This window comes from Homo sapiens, chromosome 16 (assembly GCF_000001405.40).
Source record: "Homo sapiens chromosome 16, GRCh38.p14 Primary Assembly".
NCBI classification, from domain to species: Eukaryota; Metazoa; Chordata; class Mammalia; order Primates; family Hominidae; genus Homo; species Homo sapiens.
In genome coordinates, this window is record NC_000016.10 from 54,873,760 (window position 1) to 54,894,484 (window position 20,725).

General features: G+C 40.2%; 1 long non-coding RNA gene across 3 annotated transcripts in view; it reads right to left on the reverse strand.

Moving 5' to 3' along the window:
* The window catches only part of LOC105371275 (uncharacterized), a 42,139-nt gene extending 22,117 nt beyond the window's left edge, over positions 1-20,022 (reverse strand). Inside the window, exons 1-2 of one of the 3 annotated variants that reach the window (XR_933597.4) lie at positions 19,512-20,022; positions 17,657-17,906 (exon numbers count right to left, since the gene is read on the reverse strand). This is a non-coding gene — a long non-coding RNA (uncharacterized LOC105371275). Of the gene's footprint in view, positions 1-16,231; positions 17,907-19,511 lie in introns of those variants that run through there. The other 2 variants (XR_007065072.1, XR_007065071.1) reach the window with 2 other exon arrangements.
* Between the last annotated feature and the right edge of the window lie 703 nt (positions 20,023-20,725).

A 20,725-nucleotide genomic window follows, 5' to 3' on the forward strand; every position in this document is an offset into this window, starting at 1 on the left:
GGGGAGAGAGACAGAGACAGTGACAAAGAGACTGACTGAAATAAACTTCAGCCCTACCACTGGAAAAACTCAAAGGGCAGGTGCTGCTGAAAGGGCTTCAGCCCTTTCCTGTCCAAGATCACCACGAACGAGTCGTATTCAAGTCTCAACATGGATCTCTGCTGTAGGAACACAGAGGAGGATCGTTAATGTTCTAAACATCTGATGCCCGTGTGTATTAATCCATTCTCACACTGCTGTAAAGAACCACCTGAGACTGGGTAATTTATGAAGAAAAGAGTTTCAGTTGACTCACAGTTCTGCAGGCTTAACAGGAAGCATGGCTAGGAGGCCTCAGGAAACTTACAATCATGGCAAAAGGCGAAGGGGAAGCAGGCACGTCTTACCACGGCAAAGCAGAAGAGAGAGTGAAGGGGGAAGTGCCACACACTTTCAAACAACCAGATCTCGTGAGAACTCACTCACTATCACGAGAACAGCAAGGGGGATATCCACCTCCATGATTCAATCACCTCCCACCAGGCCCCTCCCTGGACAAGTGGGGATTACAATTTAAGATGAAATCTGGGTGGTGACACAGAGCCAAACCATATTACCATGGTATCTAGCACAGTTCCTTACATACAGCAATAAATTCCTGTGGACTGACTACATTTTAAAATAAAAATCCATTTATTATTATTCATTAACCTAATACATTATAATAACATCTCTACCAAATTTATTGGAGTAAGTTGGCTCCTGCAGAAAACTACAGTACTATGCTAAAAGTCCAAAAGTTTACAAATTAAAAAAATAAAAATTGATATTAAAAAATATTAATTATTATATTATTTTAAACCTTCATCCAAAATATAAAAGTAGCTGGGCATGGTGGCTCACGCCTGTAATCCCAGCACTTTGGGAGGCCAAGGTGGGTGGATCACTTGAGGTCAGGAGTTCGAGACCAGCCTGGCCAACATGGTAAAACCCCATCTCTACTAAAAATACAAAAAAAACTAGCTGGGCATGGTGGCACACATCTGTAATCCCAGATATTTGGGAGGGCTGAGGTGGGAGAATTACTTGAACCTGGGGAGATAGAAGTTGCAGTGAGCCGAGATCACACCATTGCACTCCAGCCTGGGCAACAGAGCAAGACTCTGTCTCAAAAAAATAAAATAAAAATAAAATAAAATAAAATAAATAAAAGTAGAACACAATAAGTATTATGTTGGTTTATTTTCAATAGAGAAAACTGTCTGGTAAACTCTGAAGGCCCTTTCTGGTTCTGGAAAGTAACAGGCAATAGAAAATAATTCAACAGGCTGGCCACCATTAAGACTTCCTTGACCTGGGGGTCCAGCTAGCTTATATTTATCTCAGCCTCATTCATGACTTCCAGCTATGCACAGTGAGGGTTTGCAAATGGGACATTTCTTATGCCACTCTGCAAGCAGTGCCTCCTCACGCCAGCATTGCCTGCCACCAATAGAATTGTCACACTGTGGAAAATGCAATGAGTGGCTTGTTTTCTGGGAGATGCAAAGAGATGAGCTTTTATATAGAACAAGGACTTCCTTAGCTGATTCAGCATACTTAGTGTATCTGATATACAGACCTTCTTAATTGAAATTATGTTTAGTCATGCTTAAAAAATAATCTTATGTTGCTTCTAGAAGAATGCAATCTCTTATTTCAGTATCAGGGTTTCTAGCACCTTATTTGGAGAAACCCCTGACATTCCTCTGTCCTTCCATCTCCTGCATGGCTCTAATAACCAGGAAGCACAAAGATGGAAAATGAATTCAGGCAGCATAAGTGGCAACCCTCTCCCATGTTTCCTCTCCTCTGCAACCCCCTAGAAGGCTTTTTGAAGTCAGAAGGCGCTCCATAGGGGGTGAGGGCTGACTCTGGCTGCCAGCAAGCAGAAATGTTCAGCTACTTAACACAGGGCCACATGTGGCAGCTACAAAAACATCAACAGGATGTGAAATCTGCTTACTTCAATGGCATTCTCCCTGCCCTCCAATCTTTTCAAATCTAAGGAGGTATGGGAGTAGCTGAACTTGGGGGGAAGGGTGGACAGAAACATCTTGTGATTTTAGTTGAAAATTTGCATTATATAGTAAATCTTGGACTATTGTCCTGCTGTTTTTTATTCCATGTGGTTCTGAGTCTGCAACCTTGGGGAGCCAGAGTGTTGCATTTAACACAAAGCCTGGTGACACAAGGGATTTGGAAAGCTGACCACTGGAATATTAGGTGTTTTACATTAATTGTAAGTCAGAAGGAAATATATGTCAGAGCGGGTCCCCAAGGTGTCTTTCTCAGGTTAAGCACTGTACTTATTTAAGTTACTCTAGGGTATAGCTTCCTTTGTCCTGGAGACAAAGGGCTACGTGAATTTGCCAAAAATGATTTGAGGCCAGCTTTTTTGTACCTCTTAGCTTTGGTAAGCTGCAGCTTCCACTCCTACTGTTTAGTAGAAGGAATCCACTGCAACAGGACAGTACTCACTCTGCAAATGATTGGTTACTGGGAATGCTAGCCTTAGGTTTTCTCTCCAATGCCAACAGGAGTGAAACCAGAGGGATGGCCTCTAGGATCTTTCTTCCTCTGAGATGGCATGAGTCCAACCAGTGATTCTGTGATGCTGAAATGGAGAAGGGGAACAGTAGAACATGACTGTACCAGTTTTGGCATCACACAGATGTGGGTCCAAGTCCTAGTTCTCTCATTCATAAATCTCATAAACTCAAGTAACAACTCATCTTCTCTAAGTCTCCATTTCCTCACCTGTAAAAATAGGAATAATAGGGATTATTCCTTATGGGAATTTAATTCTTTATGGGAATTAAATGAGATACATCATAGTGTCTGGCACATAGTGAATGCTCAGTAAATGTGAGCTCTCATTATTAACATTATGAATCAATGTGCCTTGTCCACAGACAGTCCCTACATGGACCCTTTCCTTGGAATTCCAGCCATGAATAGGTGCACAAATTCGAATTTGTACACTGCTCACAGGCAACTAAGAAATTTAGTCCCAGGCCGGGCACAGTTGCTCATGCCTGCAATCTCAACCCTTTGGGAGGCTGAGGTGGGTGGATCATGAGGATTAAGAGATCGAGACCATCCTGGCCAACATGGCGAAACCCTGTCTCTACTAAAATTACAAAAATTAGATGGGCGTGGTGGTACGTGCCTATAGTCCCTGCTACTTGGGAGGCTGAGGCAGGAGAATCACCTGAACCCGGGAGGCGGAGGTTGCACTAAGCTGAGATCGCGCTACCGCACACTCCAGCCTAGTGACAGAGAGAAACTCCATCTCAAAAAAAAAAAAAAAAAAAAAAAATTTTCCCACTGGGGTCATTTTACTTAGCATGGGTTAAGACCAAGAAAACAAAAGACATTACCAGGCTACTGTTTATTCTTATTCCCAAGCCGGCTGGAAAATGTTTGAATCTCCATTCCAGAGTCTGTTTATCAGGGCTATCCTGTTATATCAGTCAGTTCTCACACTGCTATAAAGAAATACCTGAAACTGGGTGATTTATAAAGAAAAGATTTTTAATTGGCTCAGGCTTCCACAGGCTGTACAGGAAGCATGGCTGGGGAGGCCTCAGGGAACTTACAATCATGGTGGAAGGTGAAAGGGAAGGAGACACACCTGACATGGCTGGAGCAGGAGGAAGAGAGAGAAGGGGAAGGTGCTACACACTTTGAAACAACAAGATCTTGTGAGAACTCACTCATTATCATGAGATTAGCAAGGGAGAAATCTGCCCCCATGATTGAATCACCTTCCACTAGGCCCCTCCTCCAACATTGGAGATTACAATTTGACATGAGATTTGGGTAGAGACACAAATCCAAACCACATCACCTATCTTCTCCATAAGAGAGCATTTATTAAGTATTTTCTCGGTGCATATATAGCACCCTGAGAACAGTGCTCTTCCTAGGGGTAGAACGTTTTCCTGAGGCATTTACAAATTAGCAGAAGGGACAGGACTTGGACATAAACCATTTGGGCACCGGGCCATAGCCATCAGCTCAGCCATGGGCTAGAAGCGATGTAATCATGCACAGGTGGGCAGGCAGGGGAGCTTAGAACTTGCCTTTGTCTGAAACCATCAGACAAAGTTCATCTGTGTTCCCTTGTGCATTCTCTTTCTCTTCCTCCAGAAGAGCACAGATCTAGCAGAGGCTGTGTAGAGGAAAGATGAGTTTGACTATGGGTGTGTTTTGTGGCCATCCTGGAGGCCACGAAATCTTCATCCCACAGAGTAGGATGAAGATTCCCAGCACAGCACTCAGAAAGCAAGGCATGTTATCTGGGCCCAGGGCTGCCCTTGCCTCCTGAGGTCTATTATTTATCTTAAAGCCAGTGGGACCCAACCAAGACTCTTGGCCGGGATTTCATTCCCATTAGAGGATTTTCTCTGGACCATTCCTCTTTTCCTTGGACACATTCATTCTTCTCCCACTCCTCATGAACCCCAAAACCACTTCCTGTGAGATGCCCAGCTGTAAGAATTCCATGGCCCTGGTGCTAATCCCTTTTCATTTGCTTCTGCCTAATTTTTTTTTCTAACATCTGTAACCATTCGACCAATTCATGATCTTCCCAATACCCTGAAAGTGGATTTCTTTGCCTATGTACATGTCTGCTGTTTTTCTTCTCTAACAGTTCCTTAATCCTTGACTGAGAACCTTCTAACTGACTACCTCCTGAGTCAAGACATCCCTATCAGAAGTGTTCATGTCTGCTGGACTTAGTCATGGAACTCTAACATTACTGACTTTCCTAAGCTATTGTCTTAAACATTGTCACTAATTAGGGAAGTTCAAGTTTCATAGAAAGAAACTATTATAACCCACTTCCCATATCTACAGTCAATGGGTACTTTGTGAAAATTAGAAAAAGACTCCCTTTTCTCAAGATGCTTCATTTTCATTTGCTGAAAACTGTCAAGATAAATGTACAAAATCTACCATGTCCGCAATATAAATAATGTTCTTGTGCAGTGCACAACCTGCAGAAATTTACATGTTGGTACCGCCAAAGGAAGGGACTCCTTACTAAAGGTAATAGGAAAGATCATCCTCAAGATGTTAAACCACTTAGTTAGTAGTAGACAAATTAGATGTGAACGCCCTATCTGTTTGATTCACCACTATTTTCCCAGTAGGACTGAATTGTAATGGGTATTATAATCATCTTAACTACCACCAATATGATTTGGGACTCCATACACGTAAAGAATGGTGTTGCTCTATTTAGAATAAGATCTACTAATTATCTTACAATGGATATTTACACAGACTCAAAGTATGTCTCTACAGATTTCTTATTCATTACAAAGAGAAAACTTGACAGTGGAGAAACTGACAGACATCACCTTTACCAAGCGGTGGAAGGCAATGTCACCAATATTGAAAAAAGGCAACACCATGTGCCTTCTGATGTGATGAACTGAGAAGAACTCAGCATCACTCTGGGATTTTCCTGTCTTTAATCCCAAGCGAACATCAGTGAAACCCAATTGGAAGGACAGTCTATAAAACAACTGGCCTGGACCCACCACAAATGTCAGGGGAAAAAAAAAAACTGTTCCAAATTAAAGAAGACCAAAGATACATGACAACAAATGAAAAGGGTAAGCCTTGATTAAATCCTGGATTGGAGGAAATACTGTAAAAAACATTACTGTGATCATTAGTGAAATCTGAATATGGGTCAATTAGATAGTAGTATTGTATCAATGTTAAATTTCCCAAATTCGATAATTATACTGTGAAAGTATTTATGGGTAGAAGGTCACAGGATCCATAAGGGATAATAGAATGAAAGAAAGCAAATGTAATAAAATGTGAACAATTGGTGAATCAAGGTGAAGAGTATATACAAGAATTCATTGTACTACTCTTGGAAATTTTCCATAAGTTTCAAAATGCTCAAAAGAAAAAAGTTCTAAAAAAATTTCTTATTATTTGAAAAAATATATATTATTCTGGTAGAAATAAGCAAGTATGGACAACTTTCACTGCAAGATGGTGAGCTTCTAGTTTAAACTGGAGGATGAAATAAACAAATCCTTCCATGACAGCATTGTAAGCAAGCAAAGAGTCATCAACCAATCAAACATTCAAGGAATTTGAATTAGTCATCTAGTTGGAAATTAACTATGGAGGATAGACTACATACATTTAATCTCCCCTCTTTCCTAAAACACCCTGAAGTTATTACCCAGAAATACAAAAAGAGTACAACTGTACAAAGAAAAAGAGAATAAAAATGTACCTGGATAAAGGATATCAAAATAATTTTAAAGGGAATCAAAACCATTTCAGAAGGCAGAAAGTGGGTAGAGAAGTAATATATTGGTGTTACAGAGTGAAACTAGAATATAAATTCTGCAGAAAGGAGCAATGAGAATGAAGCCCATGGCCCCTCAAAGCTCAGGAATCAGGGAGCCAGGTATGGGGTGGATGGGGGATGAGGCTCACATGGAGAGAAAGGTTTAAAGCCTGTCTGCAGCAGTCAGATTCCCAGATCTCCTACTCTCCCTTCTGCATCCAGGTGACTGTTTGGATAGGAGAGATTAAATTAGAGGCTCTAATTTAGGGATTAGATTTAGGGATAACAAGCATAGAGAAGGGCTGGAGCAACACACAGGGCTTAAAAAAGAAGCATACTGAATGATGAGCTTCCTGTCCCTTTTTTCCTCCCTGCTTCCAGAACACCAGCAGCTAAGAGATGCCTCTCCAAAAGGAGACTGGAAAGTTCATCTCTTGAGACCCAAACTTTTAGATCCAGGAGTGGGAAGCCCCCCCATAGAAATAGCTAATGTTGGCTTGCCACCTGATCATATGGCAGTGAAATTCATCCACCACCAAGCTCCACAAATGGACACAGAGGATCTAATTAGCTTTCCATTAAGAATGTAATCTTAAATATTACAGCTAATGACTACAAGACATTTGAGGAGATCCTTCAATATGAAAGAGGAAGACCTAAACAAATAGAAAAATGGGATCTGGAGGAAGCTGAGAACATGCAGACCACAAAAAACAGCAGTGTATAAAATTGTATTATTAATAACCTCAGAAAAATAAAACCTCAGAAACATAAAACCTCAGAGAAATAAAAGAATATACTGTATCTATGAAACAAGAACAGGCTGTTACAGAACAGGAAAAATCAGGGTATAAGATGGAGCCTTGGAAAAGTGTGATACTGACAGTGCAGACATTTTCAGATGAAGATATTTTATTTCTGTGCATACTTCTTTAGAAAGCTATGGAAAGATAAGCTCCATGAACATGAGAAGCAAGAGAGAGAGAAAGACATAAAACCAAGAAAACAGGGACTCCAACACAGGAAAACACAAAAATAAATTTCAGGATGGCAGCTAGGTGACAAAGTGAAAATGCAATTGATCCAAATTAGAGAAGGATAAAAATAAATTTCCTGAAGAGAGTTCTTTAGAAAAGAAAAACCAAATAACCAAAAGAGAGTTGATAAATTATGCTCTGATACATATAATTGTTTATAAAATCTTGATTGACTATCAAGGATGGGTTTGATGGAGCACATGGAACTAATCAAATATAAAAACGAGGCCATTATTATCTTTAAAAAAATTTTAAAAATAATTAGGGAAGTTCAGGTGCATTATTTTTCCCAGTAGTACCTTGTATTTACAGGCATAATAATAATCTTCATACTGAATACTCATTTAACCAAAAATTATATTGGAAATTAATATTAAATTCCAAAATTATATTGGAATCCCTATATTGGAGCAATAGGAATGGTAAAGTAACGAAGCTATAGATTCATATGTTGTCAATGGAAGTCAATAAAATATATCCATTATTGATGTAGCCGTGATTGATAACTAAAGAAATAGCAGTAATCATAGTATTTAGAAATGTGAAGGCAAATGACAGAAGAAACACTTAGACATTTTTAAAGGGTTGCAACTGAAAAGTAGAGAAGAGGTAAAGAAGGGTGAGGCAAAGACCTTCTCTTTTCTTTATAAGCCTTTGAACGCTGTTTCATTGTCAACTATTTCATCATTGTTATCTTGATGAAAATAAAAAATAAAAAGAAATATTAATAGCTTAATTGAAACATCAGAGTAAAACACAACTCAAACAGGTTGTGTATTGAAGAAATGAAGCTGGGCTGGGTGTGGTGTCTCATGCCTGTAATCCCAGCACTTTGGGAGTCCAAGGCAGGCGGATCACTTGAGGTCAGGAGTTGGAGACAAGCCTGGGCAACATAGTGAAACCCTGTTTCCACTAAAAAAGAACAAAAAACAAACAAACAAAAAACAAATAGCCGGTGTGATGGTGCATGCCTATGGTCTCAGCTATTCAGGAGGTTGCGGCAGGAGGATCACTTGAGCCTGGGTGGCAGAGGTTGCAGTGAGCCGAGATGGAGCCACTGAACTCCAGCCTGGGTTATAGAGTGAGACCCTGTCTCAAGAAAAAAAAAAAAAAAAGAAAGAAAGACATGAAGTGGATTTCTTAATGCAGTAGAGAAAGAGCAAACTCAGAGATGACAAATATGAAAGAACCAGAGTGAGATGGGTTATTTCTCAAGGTCACTGAAAGGCTTACCTTGTAAGACAATGAACTTTGTTAGCAGGGTTGGGCCTGGGGTGAGCAGGTGAGGATGGGGACTAGGGCAAGGTGCCTAGAATGCAAAATTCAGAGAGACCTGCACCACCCTGAAAGCAAGTGCCTTAACTTGGTACCCTACGGGCTCACCCTCTTGCCAGCTTGTCTGTTGGATCCCACCACTCACAGTGGTGGGTACAGTGGATTATAGCTGCTGTGTTTGCAGCTGAAAATCTCTCTCCAAACGTGGAGAAATGTGCTTAGGGAAAGCTCACTGCTTGAGGGCTGAAGCAGGGTGAAAGCCAGAAAAATGTGATACAATTACACTCTTCAAAAGACAGCGAGGAAAAGAATCACAAGGCAGCTCTGGCTGTTAGTCTCACAGGAAGAAGTGCCACCCTGGAGCAAAGGATTCCTACTGTAATCAAAGGGAACAAAGGGGGCATTTTACATCAATTAATGGTACAACCCACTAAGAAGATATAGTAGATTTAGACCTTTATTCCATGAAAAAGCAAAGCACCAATACATAAACAACTTATTGAAAATACAGGAGAACTTCTGAAAACACAGGAGAACTTCTGAAAACTACAAGCTCTCAGAGACTCACAAGTGAGGTATATGGAAAATAAGAATGTAGAGTAGGCCGGGCACAGTGGCTCACACCTATAATCCCAGCACTTTGGGAGCCATAGGCAAGTGGATTGCTTGAACCCAGAAGTTCAAGACCAGCCCAGGCAAAATGGTGAAGTCTTATCTCTATCAAAAATACAAAAATTCGCTGGGCGTGGTGGCAGGCACCTGTGATCCCAGCTATTCAGGAGGCCAAGGAGGGAGGATCACTGGAGCCCAGAAGTCAAAGCTGCAGTGAGCTATGATTAGACAGCTGAACTCCATCTTCCTCGGTAACAGAGGGAGACTCTGGGACAGAGAGAGAAAGAGAGTTAGGGAGAAAGGGAGAGAGAGAGAAAGAGAGAGAGAAAAAGAAAGAAAAGAAAGGAAAGAAAAGAAAAGAGAAAAGAAAGAATGGAGGGAGGGAGGGAAGGAGGAAGGAAGGAAGGAAGGAAAGGGAAGGAGGGAGGGAGGGAGGAAGGGAGGGAGAGAGGGAGGGAGGAAAGGAGGAAAGGAGAAAGAAAGAAGAGCATCTAAAAAACAAAATTAACAAGCTTGATTTAATAAGTGGACTTAAGATACATTTCCTAAAGCGAGAATACACATTCTTGTTAAACATATATGAAATATTTACACATTAACTATGTTTTTAACCACAAAGGAAATCTCAGTATATTATCCAAAGGGGAAATCATACAGGCTCCATTCTCTAGCTATAATGAAAAAAAAAAAGCCAGAAATGAATAATAAATCATAGCCTTCTCCTCCTCTTCTATCCGTGCCTCCCCATCTACAAAACATTATCTAGCCACTTAGATAGTTTTTAAAAATTCTCTTTTCAAGATAACTCTTTGGTTAGAAAATAGTAAAAGTACAAAATTATGGACTATTCAGTTATGAAAAACAGTAAAAACAATAAATAGAAAAACTAGTAGACACAGCCAAAACTGAACTTAGAGGATAATTTATAGCCAAAACATACTTATTAAAAATCAAGCAACATGTAAAACAACAGCAACTATGCATTCAGCCAGAAAACCCAGGGAAAGGTCAAACACATCAACTAAAACAAAGTAAAAGGAAGAATTCGTATATGATGGGGTTCAGGTCACACAACTCCAAAATATAGCACCTTGGAAATGAGAAAACAGCAGGAGCAGGAAGGTCCCTCTCACCCTTCTTCCCCAAAGCAGGCCATAAAAACCTGAAAAGGTCACTCTCTGACCTTCTCCCTCCCTGAATAAGGATACCCTCTAGGTATAGAGCAACACACCTGTCACATAAGGGTTTTCAGGAGAGACCCTTATGTGACAGGTGTCTTGCCCTATACCCAGAGGGAAGGAATGTCACACAGGAATGCCAGGAAGAATCTGAACAAACAGGCCTTGCTAAGCCCCCCACTCAAGTTTGTGACCACTAGGTCATACTGAGACAGCCAAGTATAAATGGGTCCCCAGAGAACCTCCCACCAGCCTGCACACTGGGAGGAACGCGCATGGGGGCGAAGCCTCCGGAAGTTTGCAACGTTTGCAGTGGGGAGGAGCCTGGCTCCTCCTCTTCCTGGGTGGAACCTGGGATTCAGTCTGCGAGGCCGGAGGTATATACTAGCAGGACTCTCGCTCTGCTGAGGGTCCCTGTTTCCCCTTTGTTTCCTTTTTGCCCAATAAATTCCATTTTTCTCACCCTTCAAAGTGTCTGCAACCCTAACATTTCATGGCCATGTGACAAGGACCCCGTTTTTAGCTGAACTAAGGAGAAAGTCCTGCAACAATAACCTTACATCCTCCAATTATGCTTCTGCAAGGACTGTCCCCTCTTCAACAAACCTAAGCATAAAAACACATAGATTTCCCTATTTCTTTGGGTCTTCATTTCTGCAGTTTCCTATGCAATGTAAAATTTATATTAAATAATTTTGTAAGCTCTTCCCTTGTTAATCTGTCTTTTGTCATAAAGGCCTCAGCCATGAACCTGGTGATAGGGGGTAGGGGGAATGGATATTATGTTTTCTCCCATACAAATAAAAAGAAGAACAAATAATTGAAGAAAGAACATATCGATAAAAACAAAACTTAAATAAAAGTGTGGCAAGTATGACAAAGAAAAAAAGTGGAGAAACCAAATTAAACCACATTTGGATTAAGAAAGTGGATACAATTACAGATAAGGGAAATATTTTTATTTTAACTTAATTTTATTTTTTTGAGATGGGAGTCTCACTCTGCCCCCCAGGCTGTAGTGCAGTGGCATGATCTCCGCTCACTGCAACCTCCGCCTCCTGGGTTCAAGCGATTCTCATCCCTTAGCCTCCAGAGTTGCTGAGACTATAGGCACCCACCACCACGCCTAGCTAATTTTTGTATTTTTAGCAGAGACAGGGTTTCACCATATTGGCCAGGCTGGTCTTAAACTCCTGACCTCAAGCAATCTGCCCGCCTCAGCTTCCCAAAATGCTGGGATTAGAGGCGTAAGCCACCACACCTGGCCTTGGGAAAGACTTTTAAATAAAAATATTATGTAGAATTTTACGGTGATAAATTGAAAATCCAAAGGAAATGGATTTAGTATTTTAATAAAATACTAAGTATTTAAAAAATAATTCAAATGGACTCCCTACCTCTCTTCTCCAAAAACAAAATAAAATACATATTCATTCATTCAACAAATATTTCTTAGCCATTATTGTGAGGTATTTTGAATGAAGATTAGCAAGATAATCTGCTTTCCGCTAAATCAATCTATAAATTCAATGTATTCCCAATCAAAATCCTGAAGAAATTTTAAAATGGGATTTGCAAACTGATTTTGATCTTCATCTGAAAATGTAAATGTGTGAGAAGTTAAAATTTTGTAAAAGTTAAAAAAAGGAGACTTGCCTTAATAAATATCAAAACATATTACAAAAATGTCTACAGAGTCACAATTCTGCAAAGACATTTCCTTCCCCCTGTCAGAGGTGTTTGAACCAGAGTGACTGCATCTTGAATAGAGTCTGGGTAAAATGAGGCTGAAATCTACTGGGTTGCATTTTCAGGAGGTTAGGCATTCTGTTACAGTATGAGATAGGAGGCTGGCACAAGATACGGGTCACAAAGACCTTGCTGATAAAACAGCATATGGTAAAAAAGCTGGCCAGATCCCACCAAAACCAAGATGGCTACAAAAGTGACTTCTGGTCATTCTCGCTGCTCATTATATGCTAATTATAATATATTAGCATGTGAAGAGACACTTCCACCAGTGCCATAACAGTTTACAAGCACCATGACAACGTCAGAAAGTTACCCTATATGATCAATTCCAGGAATTGCCCACCCCTTTCCCAGAAAACACATGAATAAGCCACCCCTTGTTTACTGTATTCTCAAGAAATAACTATAAGTATCCTTAGTTGGGCAGCCCACACTGCTGCTCTGCCTATGGTGTAGCCATTGTTTTATTCCTTTACTTTCTTAATAAACTTGCTTTCACTTTACTCTATGGACTTGCCCTGAATTCTTTCTTGTGCATAATCCAGGAACCCTCTTTGGGGGTCTGGATCAAGACCCCATTCAGGTAACACCCCACACCCCAAAACCTATTCAGAGTTGTTACTGCCTGGAGTGGACCTGGACTGGAGGGGAGAGGGTGTAGAAAACAGGGAGGAGAATTTTTACTTTTCACCTTTGTATACGTTTTCCACTGCTGCTATAACAAAGCACCACAAACCTGGCAGTTGAAGCGACATAAATTTATTTTACAGCTCTGGTCCAAAGTCTGAATTGGGTCTTACTGGGCAGAAATCAAGGTGTCAGCAGAGTGTGGTTCTTTTTCTGGAGGTTAAGAGGAGAACTTGTTTTCTTGCCTCTTCCAAGTGTCTAAATGCTGCCCACATTCCTTGGCTGGTGGTTCCATTCCTTCAGCTCTAAAGCCAGCAATGCTCAGTCTTCGTGTTGCATCACTCTGGTACTGCATCTTCTGCCTCCTTCTTCCACATTTGAGGACCCTTGTGATTACACTCAGTTCACCTAGATAATCCAGGGTAATCTCCCTATTTTAAAGTCAGCTGATTAGTGACTTTAAGTCCATCTGCAATCTTAATCACCTTTTGCTGTGTAATGCAACATATTCAGCTTCTGGAAATTGGGATATGGACATCTCTGGATGAGCATTATTCTGCCTACCACAACTAGAGCTTTCTAAACTGTTTGTATTTGTTAACTTAGAAATATGTATTACTTTTATAATTTAAAATTAAGAGTACCTGATGGTGAGCATTTTTTAAAAAGCTATAAAGATTTAAACTTACTTTTGTGTTATAATGATAAAAAGGTTGATGTTGCAGGATTAGGCAAATGAAACATTAACAACAACAAAAAAAAACCCTAGCAATTCAGAGACATATATAGGCGGGATATAGCATTAGACAAAGGTCATATTTCAAGCCATGGGGGAAACAGAATGGACAATGTATAAGAGGAAACTGTGGGTGTTACCGGAAATAAAAGGTTTGATCTTTATGTCATACCACATAATCAAATAAATCCCATGAGGTTTAAAGATCAAAACTTCAAAAAAAATTAAAAGTAGTAGGAAAAGATGTAGGAAAATATACTTGTAATTTTGGGTGTGGTCTTCTTATACCACAATCCATAAAGCAAAACTTGATAATATTAAAATCAAAGTCAAAATATAAGCAACAGGCTGAGAAAAAATATTTGATAAAATATAACAAAGAGTTAGTAGCCATAATCAATAAAGATCTTTTGTAATCTGACAAGAACTCAATGATATGGGAAAATGAACAAAAAACATAAACAGGATGATTCTCAGAAGAAGTAATGTAATGGCAACACATATGTGAAATCACGTTCAAACTCACATACTTAGCACACTCAAAAATTCCCCATGGGTCACTGGGTGCCGTGGCTCACGCCTGTAATCCCAACACTTTGGGAAACTGAGGCGGGTGGATCACTTGAGCTCAAGAGTTCAAGACCAGCCTGGGCAACATGGTGAAACGCTGTCTCTCCCAGAAATGCAAAAAAATTAGTCAGGCTTGGTGGTGTGCGTCTGTGGTCCTAGCTACTCTGGAGGCTGAGGTGGGAAAATTTCTTTGAGCCTGAGAGGCAGAGGTTGCAGTGAGCCGAGATGGCACCGCTGCACTCCAGCCTGGGTGACAGAGTGAGACTCTGTCTGAAAACAAAAAAAAATTCCCCATGGCATTATTTGCCAAAATGAAAACTGGATATATGACTTTAAAGGCATCGATAGCAAATAAGTAAATTTTGTACCTCCAAAATAGAGATAATAAATAGCTATTAAATACAATAAGAATGATCTTGGGCACCAATAGAGGAAGATGTCTGTAATAAAATAAGTGAAAAGCTGGGCGCGGTGGCTCACACCTGTAATCCCAGAAATTTGGGAGGCCGAGGTGGGCAGATCATGAGGTCAGAAGATCGAGACCAACCTGGCCAACATGGTGAAACCACGTCTCTACTAAAAATACAAAAATTAGCCAGGCGTGGTGGCGGGTGCCTGTAGTCCCAGCTACTTGGGAGGCTGAGGCAGGAGAATCGCTTGAACCCGGGAGGCAGAGGTTGCAGTGAGCTGAGATCGCACCATTGCACTCCAGCCTGGCGACAGAGTGAGTGAGACCCATCTCAAAAAATAAATAAATAAAGTAAATAAAATAAAAAGTGAAAAAAAAGCAAGTCACAGACTTCTATGGAATAATCCAAATATGCTATATGTAATATATACATGCAATATACCCATATGTTCCCATGTATAATATGCACGGAACATGTTACAAAAGGACTCCTTCAAATTGTTAGCAAAAGTGACTACCAGGCAGGAAGGTAGGACAGAGGAGAGAGTCAAAGGGAGAGGGAGAGTTTATCAAATAAACTTTTTTTTTTTTTTCAGATGGAGTTTTGCTCTTGTTGCCCAGGCTGGAATGCAGTGGCGCAATCTCGGCTCACTGCAACTTCTGCCTCCCGGGTTCAAACAATTCTCCTGCCTCAGCCTCCCATGTAGCTGGGATTACAGGCACCTGCCACCATGCCTGGCTAATTTCTTGTATTTTTAGTAGAGACGGGGTTTCACCATCTTGGCCAGGCTGGTCTTGAACTCCTGACCTCAGGTGTTCCATCTGCCTCAGCCTCCCAAAGTGCTGGGATTACAAGCATGAGCCCCACACCCAGCCTACATTCTTCTTCTCTATTTTTCCTTTAAAGTAAGCATGTATTGTTTTGTTTTTGTTTTTTGAGATGGAGTCTCGCTTTGCTGCCCAGGCTGGAATGCAGTGGCGCAATCTTGGTTCACTGCAACCTTTGCCCCCGAGGTTCAAGTGCTTCTGGTGTCTCAGCTTCCCAAGTAGCTGGAATTACAGGTGCATGCCACCACACCCAGCTAATTTTGCATTTTTAGTAGAGACAGGGCTTCGCCATGTTGGCCCAGCTGGTTTTGAACTCCTGACCTCAAGTGATCCACTGGCCTCGGCCTCCCAAAGTGCTGGGATTACAGGCGCAAGCCACCGCACCCAGTCCATGTATTGTTTTGAAAAATACAAAAAATAAAATAGAAAAGAAATGATAAATAAATTCTCAAAAACTGATACGGGGACAATGGTAAGCAAAAGAAAATTATGAAATCAATGTATCCTGTAACTTTTTTTCCCAAAAAAAAAAATAAAATGATTGGCAAAATAATTAGTCTAGTCATGCTTCAAAGAATGTTAGTTTAGCTATGGGGTTTTCTAATACTTTGAATGAGAGCTAAAAATGTCAAATTCATATATCTTTCAAGGATAAAAATTCTCTAATAGCCTTCATTAATTGCTTCCATTGTACATAATATTTTGTAAGTTTTACATCTCCAGGAAAGTAATGTTTACAAATTCAAACCGTGTACCTTCAATATTACTTAGGTGACATAAACAAATTAAAATAAGGCCAATGTATGCCAGTTGTGTTTATCAACCTGATCCCCTCTGAAAACGAGAAATGAAGTCAAATACCCTTTAATACTATTTATTAGTGGAGTAATATAATACATTTTGACAAGTTGAACAGTTGTAACAGGAGGCTACTTAAGTCTCTACAGGGCCTGTTTAGAATGAAAACAGGAGTGAGAGACAGCTCTATAGCTGGGTTTTAAGAACAGCTCAGCCATCAACTATATCCTAACCAAGTACTTTTATCCAGTTAATTTATGGAGTGAATCCCTTAGGGTCTCTAGCCGTCTACCCCTGCAGCTCATTAGAGCCCAATATCCAACTTTTCTCACTGTAGCACTGAGAGCATTTATGCTTAAAATGTAATTAAACTTAAAACAAACAAGATCTTTATTCCCTGACAGTCCCGCTATTTTTAAATTGACAAAGGCATGAACTTATATAGGATTATTTAGCAAGCACTATACATTTCAGCCACTTATGGCAAGACATTTGCCCAATTGTTCATCCTGCATGCAATTAGAAATCTAAATACTTGGGTAACGGGTTTCTATTGGGAATTAAACTTGCAGATCTCTTACAAACTAGTAATGTGGTAAGACTTGCTGTCCAATGAGGTGTCTTATTGAAATATCCCAGGCCATTTCACTTGTCACAGCTGTCGTTTCAGCCGCTTGCACTCACAGTGTATAGCTTTCATTACGAAAATAGAAATTTGTGTCCTAAGTGCTGTTACATTACTAATGCTAAATATTTAATTCCCTGGGGTTCCAATTATGGTTGAGCACTGGCAACACTGATTCTACTTTTTAATAACAACTGTAAAAGCAATTTGAGCATTTTTCAATTAATTAAATACATAGTGAACGAGTAACCTCTTGTCATTTTGCCCTCCAGGACCTGAGCTAATTGGTGTAGAATAAAATGTTTTGAAAATTAACTGATATTCTGGTCTGCACACTGTTATACCATTAAATTACAGTTTGCAAAATGAAGTTTGTCTTCTAATAGTTACACTCAATAGAGTCTGCAGATGTGAGTAAGTACCTGCATTTTATGTACGTCACGGTGCCTGTAATTACAGCCGAGTTGAAAGTCGAGTGTAGTTTCTCTAAACACCAATCAGTATCAATAATACTTTGCATTGTTCACAGATAAATGCAACATATTTCAACATAGGAAAGTTTCCCAGGTTTCATTACATGTTTTCACGATTTAGCTTAAATGTTTTGAAAGTTTGCTCACAGGAATTACTATCGCTAATTATATTCACACAGAAAAGTTAAAAAAAATTTTTTTTATATTTTTTTCACAAGAGAAAATTACAAATCGGATGTCTGGGAAAGCCCTTCCTTTTTAAACACTTTGTGGCAGTTTCTCGTTTCACTATAGAACAATGTCATAAATAAGCTCTAAATTGGTGTTTCAGCTGAAAAGGATGAATTATAAAAGCAGATGCAATTTTACTCACATTTTAAAACGAACCTTTTTCTGAAGTACAATGAAATATGATTAAAGAGACCATCTCCTTGTAGAAAAACGTCTCTGACAGGTGTTCTTCCAGGCCGGAGTCTTGATTGGCCATAATCTAAAATCCATGCTTGGAAAGTGAATGCCTTTTCAGCAGCTGTCTGCCTAACAGAGATGATCCCCTAAACAGGTTTCACTGAATTAGGAATCTCAGCAGAAGCATTAGGGCTCATGGAGTAAGACACAGAAAGTGAAATTAATCACGCTGGCAGAGAGAGAAAAAAATAATAGGGAAAATTTAATCACTTCCATACCCATCTTTAGGGTTAAAGCTTTAATATTTCTAAGATTTTAGTAACATCTTTGAGAAATGAATTTTTAATTACAGGACTAACTGGATAGCACCAGCCGGTTAAATAAATCAGCCTAAATTTCTGATTAAAAAAAAAAAACTTAACTGGATAAAGAGAACATTTTAGAATTCTGAGGTTGAGTTGACTTTTCTGGAAGCAATCTCCAGTCAATCAGCAAATACACACACACACATAAGTGAAAATCAAAATATAAATATAAATTTCTTTAAGGTTTATCTAAATATTAATCTATATGGAAGGTAATATCTTAATAGATCTTTAAAAACAACAGCTTAATATATCTTATCATAAAATAATTCTTAAAACAAGACATAGAATTTCTAAATGACATGTTAAATACAGTTTACAAATTATTTTTGCCAAAGACCATTTTTTTTCCAGCCCAAAGAACAGCTATATTTCAAAATAAAAAAGTCAAAATTGGCCTAGCGTGGTGGCTCACACCTGTAATCCCAGCACTTTGGGAGGCCAAGGCGGGTGGATCATGAGGTCAGGAGATCAAGACCAGCCTGGCCAATATAGTAAAATCTCTTCTGTACTAAAAATACAAAAATTAGCCAGGCATAGTGGTGCACGCCTGCAATCCCAGGTACTCAGGAGGCTGAGGCGGGAGAATTGCTGGAACCGGGGAGGCAGAGGTTGCAGTGAGCCAAGACTGTGCTACACTCCAGCCTGGGTGACAGAGCAAGACTCTGTCTTAAAAAAAAAAAAAAAAAAAAAAAAAAAGTCAAAATAAAGAAAACTTGTGCTTTGAATACAAGTGGCACAGATATTTTTTATATTAAGAAATGGATCCGAATTTATTCCAAAACACTTATGTATCTAGTTTTGAAAAATAATAATTTCGGCTGGGCGCGGTGGCTCACGCCTGTAATCCCAGCACTTTGGGAGGCCGAGGCGGGCGGATCACAAGGTCAGGAGATCGAGACCATCTTGGCTAACACGGTGAAACCCCGTCTCTACTAAAAATACAAAAAATTAGCCGGGCGCGGTGGCGGGCGCCTGTAGTCCCAGCTACTCGGGAGGCTGAGGCAGGAGAATGGCGTGAACCTGGGAGGCGGAGCTTGCAGTGAGCCAAGATTGTGCCACTGCAATCCGGCCTGGGCTAAAGAGCAGGGCTCCGTCTGAAAAAAAAAAAAAAAAGAAAAGAAAAATAATAATTTCATTAACTGACTTCTAATATGTGGCCAAACCACAACCAAACAAAACAACACCCAGTTCTCTAAAAACATGAGACGGTCATAATTAAAGTCACTATCTTTAGTATCAGGGTCCCCAGTTATTGCACGCAGCTAACCAGTTGGAGTTGGTCATCAAATCCCAGACAGCCTCCACCCATCTCCAGCTGCAGCAGCAGGATGACGACTAGCTGAAGATGGTGAGACTTTGACCCCTCAGGATCACATGCCCATTAAGTTCCCCTCCTTGTGACCTGACACTCCCTGTACTCACAGGGGTTGGCAGCCCCAATCTACACAGTCAGAACTAAGTCTTACCTATTATCCACCAACACCAGTACGTGAAGCCAGTGAGAAAACTCCACCAACCTTGGAAGCAGAGGATCTAAGCTCAAACTTGAGAATGCGAACAGCGGTGGGATCTAGGATGGGTCACTTCACACGTCTGCACCCCTGATCTCCTGGCTCTGACATGGGGGACAATGCAATCTCTGCATTGTTCTCAAGGTCCAATGAGAAAAGACGAAGTTGCTGCAGAAGCTGTAAAGCAGCATGTAAATATAAGATACCCAAGGCTTCCAGGCTAACGCTCACCTGCCATTTAACAAAGCATTTCTCATGTGACTGTGCAAAGTGCCTAAAGTAAAAAATATATGCAGTCAATCCATAATAATGTGCCTAAAGAAAGAGGTTAGAATCATTGTGGACTCTGCAGTTTTCACTAGAGATGCTGTTTTAGAATTAAGGCTTTAGCCCAAGTGCGGTGCCCCATGCCTGTAATCCCAGCACTTTGGGAGGCTGAGGCGGGCGGATTACTTGAGGTCAGGAGTTCAAGATCAGCCTGGTCAACAGGGTGAAACCCTGTCTCTACTAAAAATACAAAAAATAGCCAGGCATGGTGGCACGCGCCTGTAATCCCAGCTACTTGGGAAGCTGAGGCATGAGAATCGCTTGAATCCAGGAGATGGAGGTTGCAGTGAGCCAAGATCGTACCATTGCACTCCAGCCTGGGCGACAGAGCAAGACTCTGTCTCAAAAAATAAATAAATAAATAAAATTTAAAAATCAGGGCTTTAGACTTTAGCTTTAGTCCCAATAAATTGCAAGTCAAAAGAAGATATGTTTAGAGTTTATTAAAAAAAAAAAAAGGACCAATGGGATAAAGAAGACAAGGGGAATTTACAGGAGATTATCTCAATATAGGTGTCATTTAATAAACTATAAACTTAAAATGAGGCCTGTTTTAATTTTATTTTCTAAGGTGTATTCAAATACTCAAATATTTCCCTTAGTTCCCAGACTCAAGGCCCGATGGCTCCCCTATCCTGGCTAGAATCAGCCTCTGAAGAACTCTGCGAAGTGGAGAAGGATGTCAGAGGAGGGAGTTAGAGCAGATGTCCCTCATTTTAACACCCAATTGGCTAAAATACACAGAGAACTGAGAAAAGACTTGCTTGCAAGTTAATATACAACTGTGGCATCTGGCCCATTAGTGGGCTCTGGAAGCCCTTTTTCATGCTGGCTGTATTCTA